General features: G+C 40.8%; 1 protein-coding gene across 9 annotated transcripts in view; it reads right to left on the bottom strand.

Annotated features, from left to right (window-relative positions):
• Positions 1-23,828, bottom strand: part of PLD5 (phospholipase D family member 5) — a 447,561-nt gene that overhangs the window by 212,284 nt on the left and 211,449 nt on the right. Inside the window, exons 1-2 of one of the 9 annotated variants that reach the window (XM_047448702.1) lie at positions 6,861-7,162; positions 3,646-3,728 (exon numbers count right to left, since the gene is read on the bottom strand). The exons of 7 other annotated variants lie outside the window; for them this stretch is intronic. The gene's annotated coding sequence lies outside the window, so the exon portion shown is untranslated. Of the gene's footprint in view, positions 1-3,645; positions 3,729-6,860; positions 7,163-23,828 lie in introns of those variants that run through there. One more of the 9 variants, XM_047448705.1, reaches the window with a different exon arrangement.

Genomic DNA, 23,828 nt, shown 5'->3' on the forward strand with positions numbered 1-23,828 from the left:
AATCCGTCCCCCTCTTCTCCTCTCCTCCCTTTTGGGGTCTCCAGTGTCTATTATTTCCATCCGTATGTCCTTGCCTTGGATACCCATTGTTTAGCTCTCACGTGTAAGTGAGAACATGCAGTATTCAATTTTCTGTTTCTGAGTTATTTCACCTAGGATAATGGCCTCCAGCTGTATCCACATTGGTGCAAAGGACATGATTTCACTCTTTTTTATGGCTTTGTAGTATTGCATGGTGTATACATACCACATTTTCTTTATCCAGTGTACCACTGATAGATACTTAGGTTGATTCCATGACTTTGCTATTGTGAATAGTGGTGAGATAAACATACAAGTGCAAGTGTCCGTTTGATAAAATAACTTTTTCCCTTTGGGTAGATACCCAGTGATGGAATTGCTGGGTCAAATAGTAATTCTATTTTTAGTTTGCTGAGAAATTTCCATGCTGTTTTCTGTAGGGGTTGAACTACTCTACATTCCCACCAACAGCGTGTAAGCATTTCCTTTTCTCTACATCCATGCCAACTTCTGCTATTTTTTGACTTTTTAATAATAGCCATTCTGACTGGTGTGAAATGGTATCGCATTGTGGTTTTAGTTTGCGTTTCTCTGATAATTAGAAATGTATATTTTTATAAAATATGATACTTTCATACTTGATTTTGGCATTATGTAGAGAACAATTCAAAACGAAAGGGTTTGAACTAATGTAGACAAAACACAGCTCTGCCAGTTATGAGCTGTGTGACCTTCAACAGATTACTAACCTCTTTCAATCTGTTCCCGCTTCTGAGCAGAAAAAAGGTTATTACAAAGATTAACGGAGGGAATCTCAGTGACATGCTGTGCTCAATGCCTGCTTCATAGTAAACCCATGTTTACCATGATGTTGGGCATTTTTCTTATGTTGGTTGCTGATATGTCTCCTTTTGAAAAGTGTCTGTTCACGTACTTTGACCACTTTTTTCTTGTTGGTTTAAGTTCCTTATAAATTCTGGATATTAGTCCTTTGTCAAGGCATAATTTGCAAATATTTTCTCCCATTCTGTAGATTTCCTGTTTATGCTGCTGATTGTTTCTTTTGCTGGACAAAAGCTCTTTAGTTTAATTAATTGCCATTAGTCTATTTTTGGTTTTGTTACATTTGCTTTTGAGATCATATGGCTACAATTAAAAGCATAGGATCAACAAGACAAAGGCTAACCTTCCCAAAGAGATACTGGAATTTCTGACTTAGAAGGTGACTCGCTACCTATGTGGCAGATTCACTGACCACCTCTAGACATGGAAATAGTTGATACAGACCTAGGGACCTTGCTTTATTTCAGCTGAGATGTATATTTCACTTTTTCCCCAAGACTTTGGATCAGAGTGAATTTACTTGTGAAAAATAGCAGAAAGAATACCAGCAAGAGCTGGCTGGCTAACAGTATGCTGATTATTTTTTTTTTAGAGATGGGGTCTTGCTATGTTGTTCAGGCTGAAGTGCAGTAGCTATTCACAGGCATGATCATAGCACACTGCAGCCTCAAATTTCTTGGCTCAAGTGACCTTCCTGCCTTACAGCCTCCTGAGTAGCTGGGACTACAGGTGTACGCCACTAGGCCCAGCTAATTATTTATTTATTTACTGTTGTAGAGATGAAATCTCACTATGTTGCCCAGGCTAGTCTTGTGCACCTGGCATCAAGCAATCCTTCCAAAGTGCTGGGATTACAGGCACACACTACTCTGCTCTGACCATTCTATTATTTGTTAGTTGGCATTCTTCCACAAAGAAAAACTTCCCCCTGGCTGGGCATGGTGGCTCATGCCTGTAATCTCAGCACTTTGGGAGGCCAAGGCAAGCAGATCATGAGGTCAAGAGATCGAGACCATCCTGGCCAACATGGTGAAAACCCATCTCTACTAAAAATACAAAAATTAGCTGGGCATGGTGGCATGTGCCTGTAGTCCCAGCTATTCAGGAGGCTGAGGCAGGAAAATTGCTTGAACTCTGAAGGCCGAGGTTGCAGTGAGCCAAGAGCGTGACACTGCACTCCAGCCCGGGTGACAGAGTGAGACTCCTTCTCAAAAAAAAAAAAAAAAAAAAAAAGGAAAGCTTCCCCCCTTTTCCTATCACCCTTCAAGACTTTTTTTTTTTTTTTTTTTTTAAGGCAGGGTCTTGCTCTGTCATCCAGGCTAGAGAACAGAGTGATCAGTGGCTCACTGCAGCCTTGAACTCCTGGGTTCAAGTGATCCTTCTGCCTTAGTACCCCTGAGTAGCTGGGAGTACAGGCATGCACCATCACATCCAGCTAACCATCACTTTTATATTAAAAAATGTTTAATTAGTATGGATTCATGTTTCTTTTTTTTTTTTTTTTTTTTTTTTTTTTTGAGATGGAGTCTCGCTCTGTCGCCCAGGCCGGACTGCGGACTGCAGTGGCGCAATCTCGGCTCACTGCAAGCTCCGCCTCCCGGGTTCACGCCATTCTCCTGCCTCAGCCTCCCGAGTAGCTGGGACTACAGGCGCCCGCCACCGCGCCCGGCTAATTTTTTGTATTTTTAGTAGAGACGGGGTTTCACCTTGTTAGCCAGGATGGTCTCGATCTCCTGACCTCATGATCCACCCGCCTCGGCCTCCCAAAGTGCTGGGATTACAGGCGTGAGCCACCGCGCCCGGCCCGGATTCATGTTTCTTAATTCAAAGTTTTATAACCGATTACTGTCATCATTCATTATTCAAATTGTTGCATATATTGCCAATGGGAGCCCCTGTAAGTTGTATTCTGTGTCCTTTTGATGTATTTCTTTCCATTTTTAATACTTTATTTTTTGTCACCAGATGTTTCCTTTTTATTAGCTTTTAAATTGATTGTCAAAGACAATTAGCTGCAGAGGACATGATAGTGAGTTTGAGTTGGTGGTAGCAGATTGCTGTTTCTATAATTCTAGATGATTCAGGCAGATGAACGCCTCATTATTTCCAGGTCTATAATTGTATATGTGAAGAACAACTATGGTTTGTTTTCGGAGCGAGACAGTATGGCAGTGGAGGAAGTATAATGGTAGCTATTATTTGTTGCTTACAGTTTTAAAAGTACTTCTGCAGATATTATTACATAGCATCGTCAACAACAACCCTGCAAGATAGGGAGGATCTTAGTTTGAGAGATGAAGAGAGCAGGGCTCCCAGCGGCCAGGGGTCATCTAGCTAGAGAGAATGCCACTGAGCTGGGATTTTAATTCAGGTTTTTGTCTGAGCTTGTGTGTTTGACAAAGCTAGATTTGGCCTTTGTCTTATCTTAGAGGGTATGCTACAAGCACACTTTGGGTCGACAGAGGAACTAAGCAGAGTGATTTTGAAAGCAGAGGCTACTGTCTTAGAGGGGAAGATCAGCTTGGACTGAGATGCTTATCCTGTCTGGAGAAGGGGGGAAGGTGCAAGTGGCAGCTCTCTTACCTTATTCTAGCAAGGAGCCCCCTCCTTATTCTATAAGCCACTCTGCCAATCTTACTGACCAGGAAAACTGTGGTGACAGAAGGGCACACTTTTAACTGGCTTAATATTTCTAACTACTGACCCAGAAAGGAACAATCAGAAAGAAACTTGAGGAGGATGAAGACAAAAGAGGAAAACGGTGGAACGTAATGCACCTACCTGTTGATATTTCACTAATATAAGATGTGGCAAAGGAGCAGGGACCTCATTAATAGAAAGATCTTGACACTGTCCCCAAAGAGCTAACACAGTAGAAAGACAGGTGATTGGAAAAAAAAAAAAGTGGTTACAACTTATAAGGCAGTTACTACCCTCCAACAGCTAGCAAAATGTAATTATATTATTACCTCTATTACATTAAAAAATTTTTTTTAATATTTTAATTTTTTAAATTTTTGTAGGTAGATAGGAGTATCCATTTATGTGGTATATGAGATGTATTGATACAGGCATGCGATGTGAAATGAGCACATCATGGAGAATGGAGCATCCATGCCCTCAAGCATTTATCCTTTGAGTTACAAATAATGCAGTTACACTCTTTAAGTAATTATAAAATATACAATTAAGCTATTATTAACTATAGTCACCCTGTTGTGCTATCAAATAGATCTTATTCATTCTATTTTTTGTAGCCATTATACTCCTATTACTTCCAATGAGCATTTATTGAGGATAAGAAACTGAGACACAAGGAACTTAAGTAACTTGCCCAGGGGCACACAGCTAGTGAGTGATGAAGCCCAGATTTAAGCCCAGCAATATGACTGTAGAGTGTATCGTCTTAATCACAACACTCCATTGCCTCTTCCAAGTTTCAAAACAAAATATCCAGGCAGAGGGACCAAATTCTGGGTGTTTTTCCCCCCAAGTCATGAATGTCCTGGGGCATGAGGTCCATGACAGTGAATTCCAGATTCGCTAGCAGAGTTGCTTTCTGTTAGGACGTATTCTCTCACTGCCAGGTTATGTTTGATTGTTTTTGTTTTTTACAAAAGACATAATCATTACTTCAACTGTATTCTCTGCATTAAAATTCAGGACATAATCTGTCTGATGATTTTGGGGTCATGTATTTATACCCTGTAAATTGATATTTATGGAATGCCAAATCCATGATGAGCTCTCCAAGTGCTGAAAGGCACCCAGGCAAAACCCCTGTTTTCATGGGGCTTATTTGCCCTGGGGGAGGAAACAACGAATACATAAGTAAACACACAGATAAAAAGATGGCAGGTGTGAGAAGTAAGTAGGATGAAATGACAGACATTAAGGAAAAGGTTGCTTCTTTAGAATGCCAGCCAGGAAAGCCCCTGCTGAAGCTGTAACATTGAGATGAGATGCAAAGAATTTGTGAGCAGAGTGCTCAGAACAGAAAGGAACATCAACCAAGAAGATATCAGCCAGGCATAGTGGCTCACTCCTATAATCCCAGCACTTTGGGAGGCCAAGGCGGGTGGATCACCTGAGGTCAGGAGTTTGAAACCAGCCTGGTCAACATGGTGAAACCCTGTCTCTACTGAAAATACAAAAAAAAAATTAGCTGGGCATGGTTGCGGGCACCAGTAATCCCAGCTACTTAGGAGGCTGAGACAGAAGAATCATTTGAACCTGGGAGGCAGAGGTTACAGTGAGCCGAGATCATACCATTGCACTCCAGCCTGGGGTGGGGTGGCGGGAGAGGAGGAGGAGGAAGAAGAAAGAAAGAAAGAAAGAAAGAAAGAAGAAGAAATCAAGGCAGAAATGAGGTTGGAGTGTTGGAAGAACATCAGGGAGGCCAATGTGGTTAAATCTAGGGAGTGAGGTGGGGCAGAGTTGGGGGGACGGCAAAGGGGTTGGTGAAGAGTTAAATTACACAGGGCTATTGGACACGGTGTGAGGTTGTGGTTTATACTGTGTGATGAAAAGACACAGTGGATTGGACAGGGGTGGAACATGATCTGATTTACCCTCCACGAGGATGACCCCTGATGTTTGTCAGAAATGGGTTGCAGCGGGACAAGGGTTGCAGCGGGAGAACAATTAGAAGACCGCTGCGATAGCATGGAGCCTCGGCGAAGGGCGGTGGCAGCTTGAACCACCGTGTGAATGCTGGGGATGGGGAAAAGTGGAGAGATATGGAATACATTTTTAAGGTAAGGCAGATAGAAATATGGGCACCCTTGAGGGAAATTCATCTGCCCCATTCCTAATGCCGTCTTCCAGGTTCAAGGATGCTTGTGTGATGTCACGCGAGCTTGCCTTTCATCTTTCTCCAAACCTTTACTCACACTGCCCTAGGAGGAGGAATGAATGAGCTGATTGTGAGACTGAGGAAGAGTTATCAGCTTGGTCCCTTGCTTCTTCTTGGGAGACCTATCCCACCCTCAACACCCATGCCTCAAGTCTTGCCTGGACAAGCCCCTTCATGTCCAGATGTGCCCTAGTCTAGCACTGGCTGTGCCTGGGTGATAAGCCTACCTAGTTCTGGGGTTCAGTGAGGAAGATGTTTGGATCTCACATTAAGCTACATCTTCCAATTTAGCCTTTGTCATTAAGGCGATCATTTGGCCTGCATCTGCTACTCCTTGTCAGAATTGTCAATCTGTTCAGGAAGAAGGATGGCTTTGAAGGGGAGCAGAATATGCCACCTGAAAATATGCCACTTTGGCAAAAGGATTATTTTGAGCTGAAGGCAATAGAGAAGAAAACACAGGGAAATATCTCTGTCTCCCCCATTTGCCTAAAAGCAGGACATGAGTTTACAAAAGTGTCTTCCTCCCCTCTCTACCAGGAAGGACAATGTTCAACACCAGAGACAACTTTAGACCCTTATCAGCCTGGAGACCAACCCCAGAGGAATCTACATAACAACCTTAATTAACTAGCGTTTATCTGTCATTAGTTTCTTATATAGTCACGCATTTTGGTTAACGGATCACATATATGATGATGGTCCCATAAGACTGCAACAGTTGTAACACTGTGTTTTTACAGACCCTTCCGTAGGTTTATTTTTATTTTTTAAAACATTATTATTATTATTATTATTATTATTAGAGACAGAATCTTGGCTCTTGCCACCCAGGCTGGAGTGCAATGGTGAGATCTTGGCTCACTGCAACCTCCACCTCCCGGGTTCAAGCAACTCACCTGCTTCAGCCTCCCGAGTAGCTGGGATTACTAGGGCCTGCCACCACACCCGGCTAATTATTTTTGTATTTGTAGTAGAGACAGGGTTTCACCATGCTGGCCAGGCTGGTCTCAAACTCTTGACCTCAGGTGATCCGCCCACCTTGGTCTCCCAAAGTGCTGGGATTACAGGCGTAAGCCACTGCACCCAGCCAACAGTACCTTCCCTAGGTTTAGATACATTTGGGTACACAAATACTTACCATTGTGTTAAAATTGCCTGTAGTATTCAGGACAGTAACATGCTGTGCAGGTTCGTAGCCCAGGAGCAACAGTCTCTATCATATAGCCTAGGTGTGTAGTAGGCTATGCTAATGATGCATTTGTCAGAACAGATACCCATTATTAAGTGATGTATGACTGCATTTGCGTTCCCATGATTGGTTGCCTCTACAGACTCTAGGTCTTTTTCCTTTGTCTCGTCACCTCTCCAAAAATGTATTGTTATTTACTGAAGATGCTATGTAAGCCAGAGTTAGAAGTCACCTTTTTGAGAATTGCTCATTCTCAGCTGGGCATGGTGGCTCACACCTGTAATCCAAGCATTTTTGGAGGCTGAGGCAAGAGGACTGCTTGAGGCCAGGAGAGTAAGACCAGCCTGGTCAACACAGCAAGACCTGTCTCTACCAAAAAACTTTAAACATTAGCCAGGTATGGTAGCATGTGCCTGTAGTCCTAACTACTCAGGAGGCTGAGGCAGGAGGATTGCTTGAACCCAGGAATTTGAGGTTACAGTGAACTATGATCGTGCCACTGCACTCTAGCCTGGGCAACAGAGCAAGACTCTGCCTGTAAAAAATTTTTTTAAATTAAACTTCAAAAATGAGAGAGATTTGCTCATTCTCTGGGTATCTCCCAAATACATATGAAATGTACATGTAAGCTTCTGTTTGTTTTTTCTTCTTCTTAATCTGCCTTTTGGAGCAGGTGATCTCAGCCCAGAATTTAGAAGGGTAAAGGGAAATTTTTACCCCCTTACACTATTTATTAAGCCATCTCAGAGACCCCAAAAGTAGAGTCTGGACATGGGTTGGGATTCTTATATATGAAATTCTCCTGGATATTTTGATGGAGTAGGGGACCGAATATCAGAATCTGTGATGAACTCAGCGCCTTAGACCGCTCGGCCATCCTGACACACCAGAATCTGTGATGAACAATTGCAATGGACAACATAAGTTTCAGAAAATGATCATGAGGGAGGCATTGTTCATTAGCTCAAGAATTCCAGTTCTCTTCCTGAGTTGATAGAAAAGTTATAGCCAAAATAGCAAATACATGCTGACTCTCCTGACTCACACGCCCAATGCTGGCAATGATAGTCAATCACACTGTTCTTTCCTGAGCCTGCCCTTGGCCTCGCCGTCTCTCTCAGCCCATTGCTTCAAGCAGCTACTAACAATTGAGACTGCCCACAAGATGAAATTGAAGTTACAACTTGGAGGCAAACTAGGAAATGGAGCTCATTACATTTTCTAATTAAGCCAGACTTATCTAGAGAATCATTTTTATTTCAACCCACATTAAAAGTATTTCTAAAATGTATAAATGCTATTTTCTAAAACTGAAATTATGACATCCGAGTTTGCCTTAGGGCCTCCGAACTGTACTTGGTAGAAGACACAGGAGGTTGGTCCATCTGTAGGTTCAGGATTTATCCTTGGATTTATTTATTTTAAAATAAATGCTTGACTCAAGCACATTTTTGGATTCAAGTTGCCTCTTCAAATTAAAGCACAGTGACATTCTTAGGAACTGAGGACTTATCATCAATTATTGCTAGTATTTGTTTCCAAACGAAGAGCCAGGAAAAAGATAGTAGAGCAGACTCAAGTCCTTGACACCAGATCTTACCCAGTAACTACAAAGCAATTAAACTCTGCTCTATCATTGTTCAAGGATGATGTCAAGTGCTTTTCCACGAGAGGGCGATTATATGTGATTTTTCCCTTTCCTCTAGTGTCTTGAATCTCAGTAATTTTCATAAGTTGAGGCTGCATTAATAAATCCCATTATTTGCAAATTCTTTTTTGCCCACCATGGGCTCTGTCAAATTGACATGTACCCCACCGACACCAGCTAAATGAGAAGCTGACTGATGGCTACTTTCAAGTCTGATGCTTATCTGGGGTAAATTTTCTGTGCCTCAATAAGACTCCTCAAAACCTTGCAAGAAACCAGATCTGGGAAAGATTCCTCAAAGGAATAGCATAACTTCTTGCTTAGAAAAGTTGTATACCATTAAAGCTGCCATTACCTCCAGAACCAAAAAATGATGTTCAAAAGCATAAGTGTCAACTATGTGGCCCAGCTGGGTGCAAGGACTGTAAATCATAAGTTTTCTCGTGAGTGCACATAACGGGCCCTCTTCACTGCAGATTGGCCACACAGCACAGAAGACAATTTTGGCTGCTATATTTCAAGTCCACCAAGGGCGATCAGCATCATCTGGCCAAATATGTGCTGTTTCCAGAGGTTTAAAATAGTTTTTCTAAATGTATCTTTTCACAGTCTGAATATGGCTTAAGTTTCTTCCGAGTTGACACATTGAAGGGGATGAGACAATTCTGTAATGAGTGAAACTTGCTAGATAATGATATAAGTTCTGCAAGTTGATTCACTTTCAGACCCCCAAAAGTAGCACGTAAGCCTATGCAGGAATATTTCCCTAATGCAATAAATTAGTTTCTATAAGAAACATTCTATGTACACAGAATTTTAATTAACAAATCTAAATTTGAATATGTCAAAGTTTTAAAATCCGGTATTTTTTCATTTTATTATTTTCTTGATATAAAACTTCAGGAAAAACTTCAAATGGTTTTGGCAGAACAGATTTCTTCATTGAATGTTTCTATAAAACAAATAACAGTTTTTGGTAATGAAAATAATTGTGAGCTGGATTGGTGGCTCATACCTGTTATCCCATCATGTTGGGAGGCAGAAGTGGGCAGATCGCTTGTGCCCAGCAGTTCAAGACCAGCCTGGGCAACATGGTGAAACCCTGTCTCTACAAAAAATACAAAAACATTAGCTGGGCATGGTGGAGCATACCTGTAGTCCCAGCTACCCCGGAGGCAGAGGTAGGAGGATCATTTGAACTCGGGAGGCAGAGGTTGCAGTGAGCTGGGATCACACAACTATACCCCAGCCTAGGCAACAGAGGGAGACCCTTTCTCAAAAAATAAAATAAAATAATTGTGACTTAAATCTATTCACGCACTTTTAAGATTCCAGCAAACTTCTTCATATTTTTAGAAATCATTACATGCATAGGTTAAGAAACTTCAAAAAGTACAGATGATCCCCAGTGTAAAGTAATCCCACTCCTGATTGCTGTGTGTTCCAGCGTCCTGCCCCAGGGTCACCAACTGGTACCAGATGCTATTTTCTGCAACTGTAGTTATTGTTATTTCCTGTACACACATTCCTTTGTAGCTAATCTATTTTCTATTTAAATATTTCCTGTACACACATTCCTTAACTTTCTATGTTTGAATCTCTCAAAACATGCAGGATAATTTACTAAGATACATATTTCCTTCATTTCTTCATCTGAAAGAAGACAGGACCTCAAGACAGTTTTCATCCAGGGCTAAAAGCGGAGACTGTGCACAAGCCACTTCCATTTCTTATTTTTTTTTCTTTTTTGAGACGGAGTCTTGCTCTGTCACCCAGGCTGGAGTGCAGTGCAGTGCTCATGGCTCACTGCAACCTCCATCTCCATGGTTCAAGCGATTCTTCTGCCTCAGCCTCCTGTAGCCTACTTGGACTACAGGTGCGTGCCACCATGCCCAGCTAATATTTGTATTTTTAGTAGAGATATGGTTTCACCATGTTGGCCAGGATGGTCTCGATCTCTTGATCTCATGACCCGCCCGCCTCGGCCTTCCAAAGTGCACTTCCATTTCTATATAGTATTTTGTCTTCCCAAATCCTGAGCTGTTGAAGAGATGACACAGGGTGTCTGGAGAGGAATGCCTTGGAGATGCACCAAGGTAGAGAGGAGAAGGTCCTCACAACTGGAAAGGGGGGGAAGTCCATGGGTCTTGCAAGGACCAAAGGACCCGCCACCTGGACCCAGGCAGACTCTCAGAGGTCAAATGTTGTGTGTACCCACAAAGGCTGGACTCTAGGCCCTGGGGCTCCAGCTTTGCCAGTCCCCAAAACTGAAGGGACATGAGGCTGTGCTGATGGGTTCTACTGACAACTAGCTGGGACAAACACATATAACCAGAGGGGTCCTCAGCTGCTGGGAAAGACTCCAGGATCTTGTACAACCTTGGTCAGTCAGGGCTGAGACTGAATTCCTGCCAGTCATCAGCTTGGCAGGTAGTAAAGATTTGGAATGGAGTATCTTTTAAATCTGAGTTGCTGGGCTGAGATTCACACCCACCACACACACATAGTACTTGATCTTCTTAGGATGGGTCATATGGTTACTGTGATCCTGAACCTCCCCTTCCATGCTCCAGCCTACTAAGCTTATGATCAAGGAATTCCCTGTGGATTACACGGATATCCCTTGACTGAAAACGGCTCATGCTGGCAGGGATGAGAGATCAAGTTGTGAAACTGTTCTGGAAGCAAGAAATGGTGGTCTCTAACCAGTGATATATATATTTTTAACATAATCTAAGCTTGTCTGCCTGCACAAAGAAGCATTTGCTAAGATAAAAAGGAAAGAACATACAAAATTAAAATTTGCCATTTATCCAGAAATGAACCAACTCGCCCACCATGTAACAAACAGAAAACTGCACTCATATTACCAAGGAATGCTACACTGAGAAAGAGAATAAGAATTTATTAAAACACACACACACACACACACACACACACACACACACACACACACACACACACCCCACTTACGCAAACAAACTCTTTGTAGGTACAGGTGCTAAAAACAGAAAACCCATATAAAGCTAAACCCATTCCATGAAACACATATGATATCACATATTTATCATTAATTTTTGATAGTGAAATTATACTAAGCTTCCTGGAGAAGGAATCAAGGAGTTAGTTAAGAGATGTGTGTTAGGCTAAGTCGCCATCTGCTCTTGTCTCATTATCAATTTGTAGGGCAAAGTTTTTTTCAATGGTCTATTCCTTGCTGGTGAGAGATTTGAAAAGTCACTGGAAAGGAAACCTCTGTCTGCTAACTGTGCTTGTGGTCTGGACACAGAATATTAAGTTGGATTCTCCTGTATTTTAATAGCATGCAGTGCCATGAGGAGCTGAACAACTTCCAGATTATATAACTGATGGGTACCTGTCAAAAGGATGCTGCTGCTCAACTTAGAAAAAGGTGAAATCAAGGGATGGTCAAAATCATGAACACTAGAAACTATTCCTAGAAAAATGCACATAAATACTCATATAGTCACGCATTTCAAAATAGCAAAACGATGATGACGGTGATGATGATGGTGATGATGATGATGATGATGATGATGATAGTAATCGCTGCCACTTATTGAGAGGCCCATAAGCCAAGTACTTTGCAGACATGATGACACTACCTTGGGACACAAATCTTAGCATTCTCGTTTTTAAGATGAAGACAATGAGGTTTGGGCAACTGTGTCACGTATTGGGCCCAGAGTCACAAGTTAGTAGCAGAACCAGTTTTTAAATCTTGTCTGTCTGCCACTAAAGTCTGGCGTGCTCAAACATCCCCCCTTGGAAGCTTCTCTCACACTGTGTGTATGTGACTGTATCAGGACAACAGTTCAAAACCAGCCCTGGTATGGACTAGGAGGTAAGGATGACTGAATGCTAATAGAAATAAACATTTGCGAGTCAGGCTTCTCCTTTGTTCTCCTTTTGCTATCTAATAAAACGTATTGATTGTCACCACCAATAATTGTCTACACTCCATTAATACATGGATGGATTTCTATCCCTGAAAGGACCACATTAAGTCACCAAATCTAGCTTCAATTTTCACCAGGAGCTGTTATCAATCCTTCAAAAGTGTTCAAGGCTCCAGGGGATATAATTTCTCTACTTGACGTGTCAATGGATTCTGACATATTTTAAAACTAATGAATTCTATTATACAATATAACAGTTACTAGGTATTATAGACACAAGAAAAATGAACATCCAAGTGTTTTCTATGAAGTTTCTTATAAATATGTAAATATTTTAAATAATGAGCAATAAACTTTTCATTCATATTCACATTATAATTAACTTTTTAATTTAAGTAGCATCCTAGAAGCTATAAATTCAGGCTTCTGATTCACTTCCAATCACCTTCTAATTTATATTTGCTCTCATTACAACTAGTCTATGAAAAACTTCAATCTTGCAATTCTCTAATCTTGGAAGTTTAAAAATTCATAAGATATAATTAGAATCTGCGTGGGAGACATTAGGGTTTAGTAAAAGGAATGATGAACTAGGAGTCTCAGGAACTTGAAACCAGGCCGAAGTCTGTCTGCTACTCAAATTATTTCTTTGAAAATAACTTTACTCATCTGTAAAATGATGAGAGTGCAAGAGATACTTTTAAAGGTACCTTCCAGAGTTAAGATGATGAATCATATCTTTTAAAACTCATAAAATTATTTAAACATATTAAAATTATTACAAATCTAGTTGTATGTACAGAAGTGAGTGTGCATATGCATATATACATATACTATATATATCAGAAATAATTTGCTCATAGAATGAAACCACAGTTAAATGTGAATGATATGATTTCAGTTTAAAATACATGAAATGAAAAAAAAATTAAATTCGAAACCTCTGAACATTTTCAGACTATTACTACTGGGAGTCACAAAATTAGTCCTTTTTAAGAATTTAACAACTTTTTAACAGTCTTTAATCTTTATCCTAAAGGGAAACAGTAATAGCCTAATCACTCAAGTGTGGGAAAAATAAAAGAATCACTCTCATTCTCGCTTGCTTAACCCTGACCACAACTCTCAAGCTTGAACATGCCATGTATCCTCTTCTGCACTCGTTATTTTGGGATTTGGAGGAGTGTGTGGGAGGGGAGGATGGAAGGAGGAGCGGGGACGTAAGGGGGAGAAAGTGGAGCGGGGAAAAAGATGAGAAGATGGCCTAAGGCAAGAATAAGAGAGGAAGAAACTTATGAGAAATCAAGGAAACAGTGGCACTTCCGTGAGAGGGGAAGATCATATTTAACAAGTGGAACCTTGAATGGAGGGAAAGAATACATTCAGGAAGAAGAGGCCATAGAAAGCATGTAGAGCAGGGGTGCCCAAGGGAGAGAACACAGTCATGGCTTCTTAGTTTCTGTGTTTGGTCTGGTTGGGCCAGTAAAGCCCCTTCCTCATCCCGCTTTTCTGCTTACTACTAGAGACAGAAATTAAAAACCATGGCCTTGGGCTGATAAAACCCAACAAAACAGAACAACAACAACAACAACAAAATAAGGAGGGTTGGGCAATCTTGATGTAGACTAAGTTTTCTTTTCTTTTTTTTTTTTTTTTTAAGATGGAGTCTCACTCTGTTGCCCAAGCTGGAGTGCAATGGCACTAAACCTCTGCCTCCTGGGTTCAAGCAATTCTCCCACCTCAGCCTCCCGAGTAGCTGGGATTACAGGTGCATGCCATCACGCCCAGCTAATTTTTGTATTTTTAGTAGAGATCGGGTTTCACCATGTTGGCCAGGCTGGTCTCCAGCTTCTGACCTCAGGTGATCCGCCCACCTCGGCCTCCCAAAGTGCTGGGATTACAGGCATGAGCCACTGCACTTGGCCTATTTTTTTTATAATTCAAACTTTGTTACAGGAAATACTTCTCCTTCCAATTCTCTCCTGTCCATGATTCCCTAATTGGAATTCAATCAGTCATTTCTAAGGTTGAAGATGGAAATTTCCAAGGCTTTTATAATTGCTCAATATAGATATTTTGAGCAAGCTCCTGCCTGACGGGAATAAATAATTTATTGAGTTTTTTTATTCTTAGAGTATGGAAAAATATTTTACCTGGAGAAAGTCAAAAAGAACACCTTGTCACAAGAAAAGGCAAAATGTACCATTTAAAGTTTAAATCAGGATAACAGCTCACTCAACAGTGGGTTTTCAGTCTTCACACTTAAATGCCAAAGCTTACTTGGTTGCAGGATCAACAGGACCAATTTTTCTTTTTTCCAGCAAAAAGTCATCCTCACCAGGGGCTCCATACCAAAAGCATCCTTGCACAGCTGGGGCATAAAGTCAGCAGCAGCAATTGTACAAGATGCTGTCAAGACTTAGAGGGTGCATTGCAGGAAGTGTCTCATTCTGGTCTCATGTTCCCTAAACACACACGCTGAGAGCAGACAGTCTATCATCTTGGGTCCTGTCTCACTCCTCTTCTACTGGCTGTGTACAGACCGCCTGTGACTCCTATCTCTTGGATAGGAGACTCCTGGATATCTTCCCAGAAAGACCAGTGGGATTCTTTTATTTCTTTTCTAGCATACTTAATAAAACCAAGTCTCTCTGAACTTAGTGGGTAGTAACAGTCCCTTAAAAAAGTTGTCACTCCTGTTCTCAGGCTCCCCTATAACACAAATAATCATGATTGAGTTTGGGGGAGGTCCTTTTAAAAATATTTATGTATACACATGGTCACACCACTTAGTTTTCTTGCACCAAGATAAGGAGAGGAAGATGGAAAGCATCTTATAGGTTGGTGCAAAAGTAATCATGGGTTTTGCCATTAAAAGTAATAACAAAAATCACAATTACTTTTGCTCCAACCTGATAATATCAAATGAAGAGTAACCTGCTGAGAAAATAACAGAATTAAGGAAATAACTAAAAATCTGTGCTCCAAGTATGGCCAGGTATATCTCTAGTGGATGGGGCTGGAGGAGATTATGAGATTAGTTACTTTAATCCCTAGTTAAATAGGGAAGAAACCAAGGCAAAGAGAGAGCTCATTGCTTTTCAAGGTAGCAAGGTAGCAGAGTCTGGTTTTAACTCAGGCTTCCAAAATCATATCCCAGTAATCTTTATTTACTGAAGTGATCCAGAATCTTTTATGTGAAACTCATAGGGCCACGTGTGTTTATTTTTTAATTTTTACTTCTTCCAGTGGCCAGTTACTAGAGCATATTTATTTATAACATATATACTATAAACAAAAAAACCCTCAACAGCCTATGAGACAACACACTGTCATTAAACACAATCATACCCTTACAATGAAACATGAATATCCACACTAAGCAGGATAAACAAAAACGCCAAGTAACCAATTATTAGTTTAGGTAAGAATTTTGCTACCACAAATGACTAAAAAAAAGTTTTTTTGGTGTTCAGTTTTCTGAATTTTCAGAATTGCAGATAATGGGTTGTGGTCATATATGGCTATACTTTTATGAGAAGAAAAAGAAAAAATCCTCAAGCATTTTCAAGGAGTGCATCCATTGTGTAATGGTTAAGAGCAGTTCAAACATCTGCAGGTTTTATTAAAGACATTTCTGATTCAGGAGGTCAAGGTGAAGCCTGAGAATTTTTACTTCCACTTCTGACCAGTTCCCAGGTGATGCTGATGCTGTAGGCCCAGGGACCACACTTTGAGAACCACTGGTTAAGAGAATGAGCTTTGCACTAATGGGCCTGGGTTCAAGTCCACCTTTTCTTAGTTGTTTGGTTTCAGGCAAATTACACAATTTCTGCTGGGAAATACATGATAATGTTATTGAGGATCCTTTGTACGTGGCAGGCTACTTTACTGCTTTCAAGATTCTCTCTTTGTCATTGGCTTTTGACAGTCTAACTTGGTGTGGGTCTTTGAGGTTTATCTCAGATTTCTTTGAGCTTCTTGCATTTGTACATTTATGTCTTTCCTCAAATTGGGGGTATTTTCTGTCATTGTTTCTTCAAATAATCTCTCTGGACTCTTTCTCTCTTCTTCTGGAACTCTCATAATGCATATGTAGGTCCACTTGATGGGATCCTGCAAGTTCCTTAGGCTCTGTTCATTTTTTTGTTATTCTCTTTTCTTTTTATTCCTCAGACTCATCAATGATTTTAAATGACCTTTTTCAAATTCACAGATTCTTTCTTCTGTCTATTCAAGACTGCTGTTGCATCTCTGGTGAATTTTTGAAATCACTTATTGTGTTCTTCTGTCCAGAATTTCTATTTGACTTTTATAATTTCTACTTTTTTTATATTCTCATTTTACTCATACATTCTTTTCTTGATTTCCTTTAGCTCTTTAAGTGTATTTAAGAGAGTGGTTTTAAAGTCTTTGTCTAGTAAGTCTGATGGTTGTGTTTCTTCAAGCTTTTGAAGATTTATTTTGTTCCTTTGAACAGGCCAGATTTTTTTTTTTAATTTTAATGTCTTGCGATCTTTTGTTGAAAATTGGGCATTTGAAAAAAATAGCCACCTCTCCCAGTCTTTGAAGACTGACTCTAAGCAGAGGAAGACCTTCACTAATAGGCCCTCTGTGAAGGCCTTTTCTAGCCACGTATCTTCCTTGGACCTGTGTGCACGCTTTTTTCTGATTCCCTCATATACACAGCTGGTTAATGTCTCAATTTCTCTAATAGTCTCGCCTTTGCTTCTTCTTGGGGTCTCACCTGTTCTATTGTATTGCTCAAAGATCTCTTGCCCCAGATATCTGTGGGTCTATAAAACCCTTGTGATTTTCACAAGCCATGCCTGCTTCTTCTCCTATCTTCCTCTAGCCTGAAATCCAAACTGTGCCACTTTTAGCTGTCTGAGCTCCTAGTTAAGCAACGCAGAGGTCAATCTCCCAGGCTTCTGTCATACAGGGTAGAACATTGCAAATATGGTCTAAATCTCTCCAATTTGCAGAAGGAAATTGGGCAGCAGGCCATCACATCCCCCAGACTGCCATGCTGCCTTGGGGCAGGGTGGGGCAAGGGTGAGTAAAAATGCAATAAAATTTCCTGCCATGTTTAATGTGGATTTTTCTTAGTTGGGTATTTGCTTCGTTCTTATAAATTTTTGACTGATTCCCAGAGCTTCTATAAAATTGTTTAATCAGTCTCTTATTTAACATTTCCTTGGGAAAACAAGGACCTAAAACTTCCTAGTCTGCCATCTTCCTGATGTCCTCATCACATATCTTCTTAAGCTTCTTCCTTATCGTACCCACTACACAGGGTTTTCCAGATGATTAAATGAGACAATGTACATAAAGGATTTAGCACAGACTTTGCATGTAGGAAAATCTCAATAAACTTTGGCCACTATCATAAAAATAGTACAATTGCAGAGTATAAATTTAGTTCCTTATCTTTCTTATCTCCGTCAGGAGTCTTCAATGCATGTGGCACAATGCTGCCTTAATTATGCTTTAATCACAAACTTTTCCTTCCCCAACACACCCACAAATATCAGTTGCCTAATCTATGCTATGCCCATCTTCCTCTGCAGTGCTATTGTGTATCTCTCATCCATAAAGGGTATATGTTACTTAACATATGAGATAGATCTTTTGCTGTCATGTTTTGTTTTCCTAAGTCATGCTTGTTCACAACTTTTAAGAGCAGTTTCTGTTCTCATTACCTATCTAAGGTCTAATGAAGTTTTTATTCTAGTGGCATTATGAGAAAGTTACACATAAGACTTAAGTCTTACCTTTAATATAGGCCTGTCCAGGCTTAATGTGAATATACTCATGCTTGATAAAATAATAGAGGAGTAAAGGCACCTTTTTCTCTCTTTGAAGCTATCTCCTACTTCTCAAATAACCCATGTCCATTGTGTGCCTCCTTCATTTCCCACATTTTGGTCAAATGCTGAGCCTAGTTCTACCTTTTCCAACAAAAAATCTTCCTTTACTTTTTGCCTATCTTCCATTTTGATGAACAAATACAATGCCTTTTTTGTTTGTTTGTTTCTGTTTTTATAGAGAATGTGCTTCATTGATCTTGCACTAGGGAACACGCTGCTAAGTCAATGAGCTGCAGTGCTGGGTGCAACAGCATCAGCCATTGCAGGGTTTTCAAGGTGAATATCACCTTGAGATAACAGAACTTGGCAGCAAGAGATGACAGTGAAGGTCATAGTAGAGCAGTTATCTGAGCCAGACATCAAAGGCGTTTTTCCTAGACTTAGTGGTCACTTTAGTGGTCACCTGAGAAGCAACTAGCAAGAGAATCCAGGAACATTAGTCTCGTGGTCAAGGTTATTGGTATTGCTGAAAGAAATTTCCCAACCTCGAGAAGGTTGGCTGATCACTCAACCAGATCCTTACCAGTGGCTAAGCCTTGGTGAATCCATCACCTCAAGGTCAAGTTTTCAGACGTGATGATGGCTCAGAAACCTGATTTGATCAGCATGCTGAAATTGGGATGTGAAACTGCATTAATCAAGCTTAAAGAGATACAAGCCAGATGGCTTTGCATTAATCTACCACAGCCAAGAATGCACAAGTAGGTCTGGCCAGCATCTATCCTCACTGTTGACAAGCTGCTTGAAACCTCAGTGATCCAACATCTTGTGTAAGAATGGAGTCAGCACAAAGGGAAGATCATTGGTCTTCAGAAGTGTTTCTGATCTAAGGTAGCTTGAATCACCTCACCTATTACAGGAACAAACTTGCCCAAGTGTCCTCTAGTTCCCTCCAGGAAAACTCCTTCTCTCCGAACTAGGGCTTGCCTTTGTGCCTCTATGTGTTTCCATGGCAGACTAACTCTCTTCCTATCCCTTCTTTCTCTTTTCTTCTTTTCCCTCCAAATAAGATACCATTTCCCATTTCAAATTCTAATCATGGAATAGCTCTGCTTTTCTGAAAGTATACCCATATCACCTTGACTGGAGTATTGGGTGCCTCTAAAGTATTCAGGTATATATTTAAAGATGGATCTCCTGACTCTCTCCCACAGATGGCTCCTGATTTTAATTGTTTTACTAATTTAACTCTGATCACAAGCTTTTTTTTTTTCTAAGTTGGAGTGGAGGCTTTGTTAGCCCCTATTGTATGCCAACTGATAGAAAGCTGCATTTTTACATAGAATCATTTTAAAAATCTAACAGTGAATTGTCACTGCAGCCTAAAATGCTTCCTAATTTCTGTAAATGAAATACAACACATAGAAGAGCTGTGCATTTTCCTTATTGTGTTCCCACACCATTTGGCCAAGCAGTTACTCACTTGAGGATTTCCGTATTCTAACACACAGCCAGACTTGCCCCACTGCTGTGGATGACTAAAAACTCCTGGGATGGTGTTTTTCTCTGGCTCTGTCAGATGTTTAGCCTCTGCAGTGGGGAATTTATGCTGTCATGGCTTTTAACAGAGAAAACAAACACTATAAGGTAGGCACCAAAACTTAACTAATTAATCAACACCAGATGATTCAAATAAAAATAAAAACCTACTGGAAATTAAGACACTTTAAATTCCTTTTGGAAATACATGGAGTCTAAATCAATAAACAATACCGGAAAGGACATTTGCCTAAATATGCAAGAAATTATAAATTTCTTGGTAGATATATTTAGTGTGTCAACAAACATTTATTGAGTACCTACAATGATTTAAAAATTATGCTAGACGTTCGGGAAATACAGAAGAAAAATGCCCTTCTACCCTTCAGGCTTACTCACTTACCTTGCCTGGGGAAGAGTCTTCAACATCCTCGGCAGCTCTAGGATTCAATATTTATATTATTGAATTGAAATAATAATGCAGTTCCAGTGGGTATTGAGATCCTCAAGTCCTCAACGGCAGTTGCCTTGACAACTTACTGGAGGATAACTTTTTTTTTTAAGAAAAGGGATCTTGCTACATTGTCTAGACTGCATTTGGACTTCTGAGCTCAAGCAGTCCTCCCAGGTAGCTGGGACTACAGGCATATGCCACCATGCCCCACTCCTTTAATTTTTTGATGCTCTCTGCTGCATTCTGGTTGGGTTATGATGGCATAAAGCACAAGATTTGAATCAGAGATCTGCTTTAAGACTCCACTTACCTCGGGAAAATTAGTTTGATAAGACAGCCTCAGTTCTTTGTATATAGGAATTCAACATACACTTAATAGGGTTGAAGTGAAAAGTATAACCAGTGGCTTGGGTCCTGAAGTCAAATGGGCCTGGGCTTGAATCCTCGGTCAGTCATTCTCTACCATGGTGACCTTGCGTAAGTTACTTAAGTCCTCTATACCTGTTTCCTCGTGTGGAAAAAGGAGGGGAAATTGTATTCCACAGGATTTATGTAAGGAGTAAATGCCACAATAAATGTAAAGTGCTTAACACAGTGCTTAGCACATGGTGATTATGTAATAAATGCCAGTTGTCATTAGTATTTGAGCATTAAATGATTTACTGTATTTTAAGCACAAAGCACGCATAAAATGAGTGCCCATTTTGGGGGCAGCAAATTTTGAGACGCCATTTTGTACCCAATAGAGCTTATAACAGAAACCTCAACAGTGGAGGGGCTCCTTCAGGAAACAGTGTGCTCTGTTACTGGAGCACATTCTCTCCTGGCAGAGGGCCCTCCACTATTGCAGGCACCTTCATGGCTTTCGGTTGAGGCTGGAAGAACAGGTCTCCTGAACTGGGGAGATGGTTATACGAGATATTTTTGAAACCTCTCTTCAACTTTTTCTCATTTTATGCCTTGTAATCATCTCTGGTTAGATGAATAATTAGATAATAATTCTATATTAACATTGAGGTGATATATAAACTTTATTAATTATTGAATAATTTTAGATTATTTAACATTTAATAATTTTAAGTTCAAGGTTACAAGTGCAGGTTTGCTACATAGGTAAACTTGTGTCATGGGGATTTATAGTGAAGACTATTTCATCACCCAGGTATTAAGCCTACTACCCATTAGTTATTTTTTCTGCTCCTCTCCCTCCTCCCACCCTCCACTCTCAAGCAGAACCCAGTGTCTGTTGCTCCCCTCTTCGTGTCCCTGTGTTCTCATCATTTAGCTCCTACTTATAAGTGAGAACATGCGGTATTTTGTTTTCTGTTCCTGTGTTAGTTTGCTAAGGATAATGGCCTCCAGCTCCCTCTATGACCCTGTAAAAGACATGATCTCATTCTTTTTATGGCTGTATAGTATTCCATGGTGTATATGCACATTTTCTTTATCCAGTCTACTTTTTTTTTTTTTTCTTGAGACAGAGTCTTGCTCTTTCACCCAGTCTGGAGTGCAATGATGCAATCTTGGCTCACTGCAACCTCTGCCTCCTGGGTTCAAGTAATTCTCCTGCCTCAGCCTCCCAAGTAGCTGTAATCCCAATTACAGGCGCCCACCACCATGCTCGGCTAATTTTTTGTATCTTTAGTAGAGACATGGTTTCGCCATGTTGTCTAGACTGGTCTCGAACTCCTGACATCAGGTGATCCACCTGCCTCAGCTTCCCAAAGTGCTGGGATTAGAGGCATGAGCCACTGCGCCTGGCCTCCACTATTGATGAACATTTAGGTTGATTCTATGTCTTTGCTGTTGTGAATGAACACACATATGCATAACATTTAATAATTTTAAATTATCTAACACATTCACTTCATTTTTTTATAAAAGAACCTATAATTGGGAAATATTCAAGAATTTGTAAACACTTTTTCTCTAGAAAAATATAAGTCTCTTCCCTTTCCTACATCCCTAACGGTTATAAAGAGAAGTTCAAATTGAGGCAAGTTATCTCATCTCAGAATGAATGGTGATTTTTTTTTAAAACTCTATGTCCTATTACTTGTTCAATCTCTTGAAGCAAGAATCATGTTCTTTGTTAGTTCTGCTTCTGGTGGTAATATTATGAACTAGGTCAGAAGGTAGTTAAAAAAGAAATAGGTTCATAGCTAAGAATCTCATTTCAAAGGAAAAAAAAAAAACCTGGCCATGTTCCATGTTCAAAATAAACTCTATTCTCTATTCCAGGGCATTCATGAGATTTCTGAGAAAAATGCCAGAGAAATGTTCCACAGAGAGGAAGAAGGGTTGAGAGCCTGTCAGCCTGACCAGGATGCCAGCCCTTTCAATGGGGGATCAGTGACAAGTCACTTTCCCTCTGCTCCTCAATGCCTCTGAATGCTACTGTTCATGGGACTGCAGTTCTGGGAACTTAGTACTGGGTACCTAGTCAAGGAGGCATAAAAAAGCTTTGCTTATATCGGTGCCTTTATCTGAGCTTGAAAGGGGAGAAGAGGTTTGGAATAGGAACATTGGAATATTTTTTAAAAGTGGCTCGCCTAAGAAGACAAACAAAAAGGGAGTAATAATGGCATTGTGTAGGACAAAATGACGTGCCCTGGGGCTGTGAAGGAGAGTGTGAGTGTAGAAGAAAGGGCGGTGCTCAGACAGGCTGGGATTAAGACACTTCTTTGCCCAGGATAAAAAGAGGACCAGAGGTGGGATGGCCTGCAGAGGGCATGTTCTTCTACAGAGCCAGCACCCTGAGTCCCGCCGTGTTCCTCCTGCGGGAGGGGAGGCCAGATTTGCTATTTTTCCGACTCCTCTGCTGTCACACCTGCCAAACGCTGCCAGTGGGCACTACCAGAACCTGGACACTCTTGGGCCAGCTGCCAGACAAGTGTGCTGACGGGAGAGAGAAGGAGAGCTCTGTGACCAGCAAGCCTCGACACTTCGTTAGGCCAACTGGTTTCTTAGTTTGCATCTTGGTTCCTGGAACCATCTCGTACCTTGTGAATCCCGACGTGGGATGTGGGATGCCTGCCAAAGGGAAATGTCAAGTGTGCTGGTCAAGAAAAAGGATTTTATAACTTTTTGGGGCTTTTGATTTTTTAATTTTTTTTTTTTTAATATGGGGTCTCTCACTATGTTGCCCAGGCCGTCCTTAACTCCTAGGCTCAAGTGATCCTCCTGCCTTGACGTCCCAAAGTGCTGGGATTACGGGCATGAGCCACTTCATCTAGGCTATAACTTTTTTAAATTGTGGGAATGTTGCTTTTACTTCAAAAAGGGGGAACAAGAAGAGAAAAGGGAAGAAAGGGATGGAGAAAAGTAATACTTTATTTTAGCACAGAGGTAGGAGAGGCTAAATCATGAAATTACACCTAGTGTTGGGATGTTCTGGGGAAAGGGGTGGAGGCAAGTGACTCTGTCTTGCTGATTTCAGTCTCCCCTGATGTCACTGAGGGACTTGGACTATGAGCAGAATTGGGGCAGGAGGGGCTCCAGAGAAGCCCTCCTCGAACATGGGGGCTTCCAGCCTAACTTACAGTT

This window comes from Homo sapiens, chromosome 1 (genome assembly GCF_000001405.40).
Source record: "Homo sapiens chromosome 1, GRCh38.p14 Primary Assembly".
NCBI classification, from domain to species: Eukaryota; Metazoa; Chordata; class Mammalia; order Primates; family Hominidae; genus Homo; species Homo sapiens.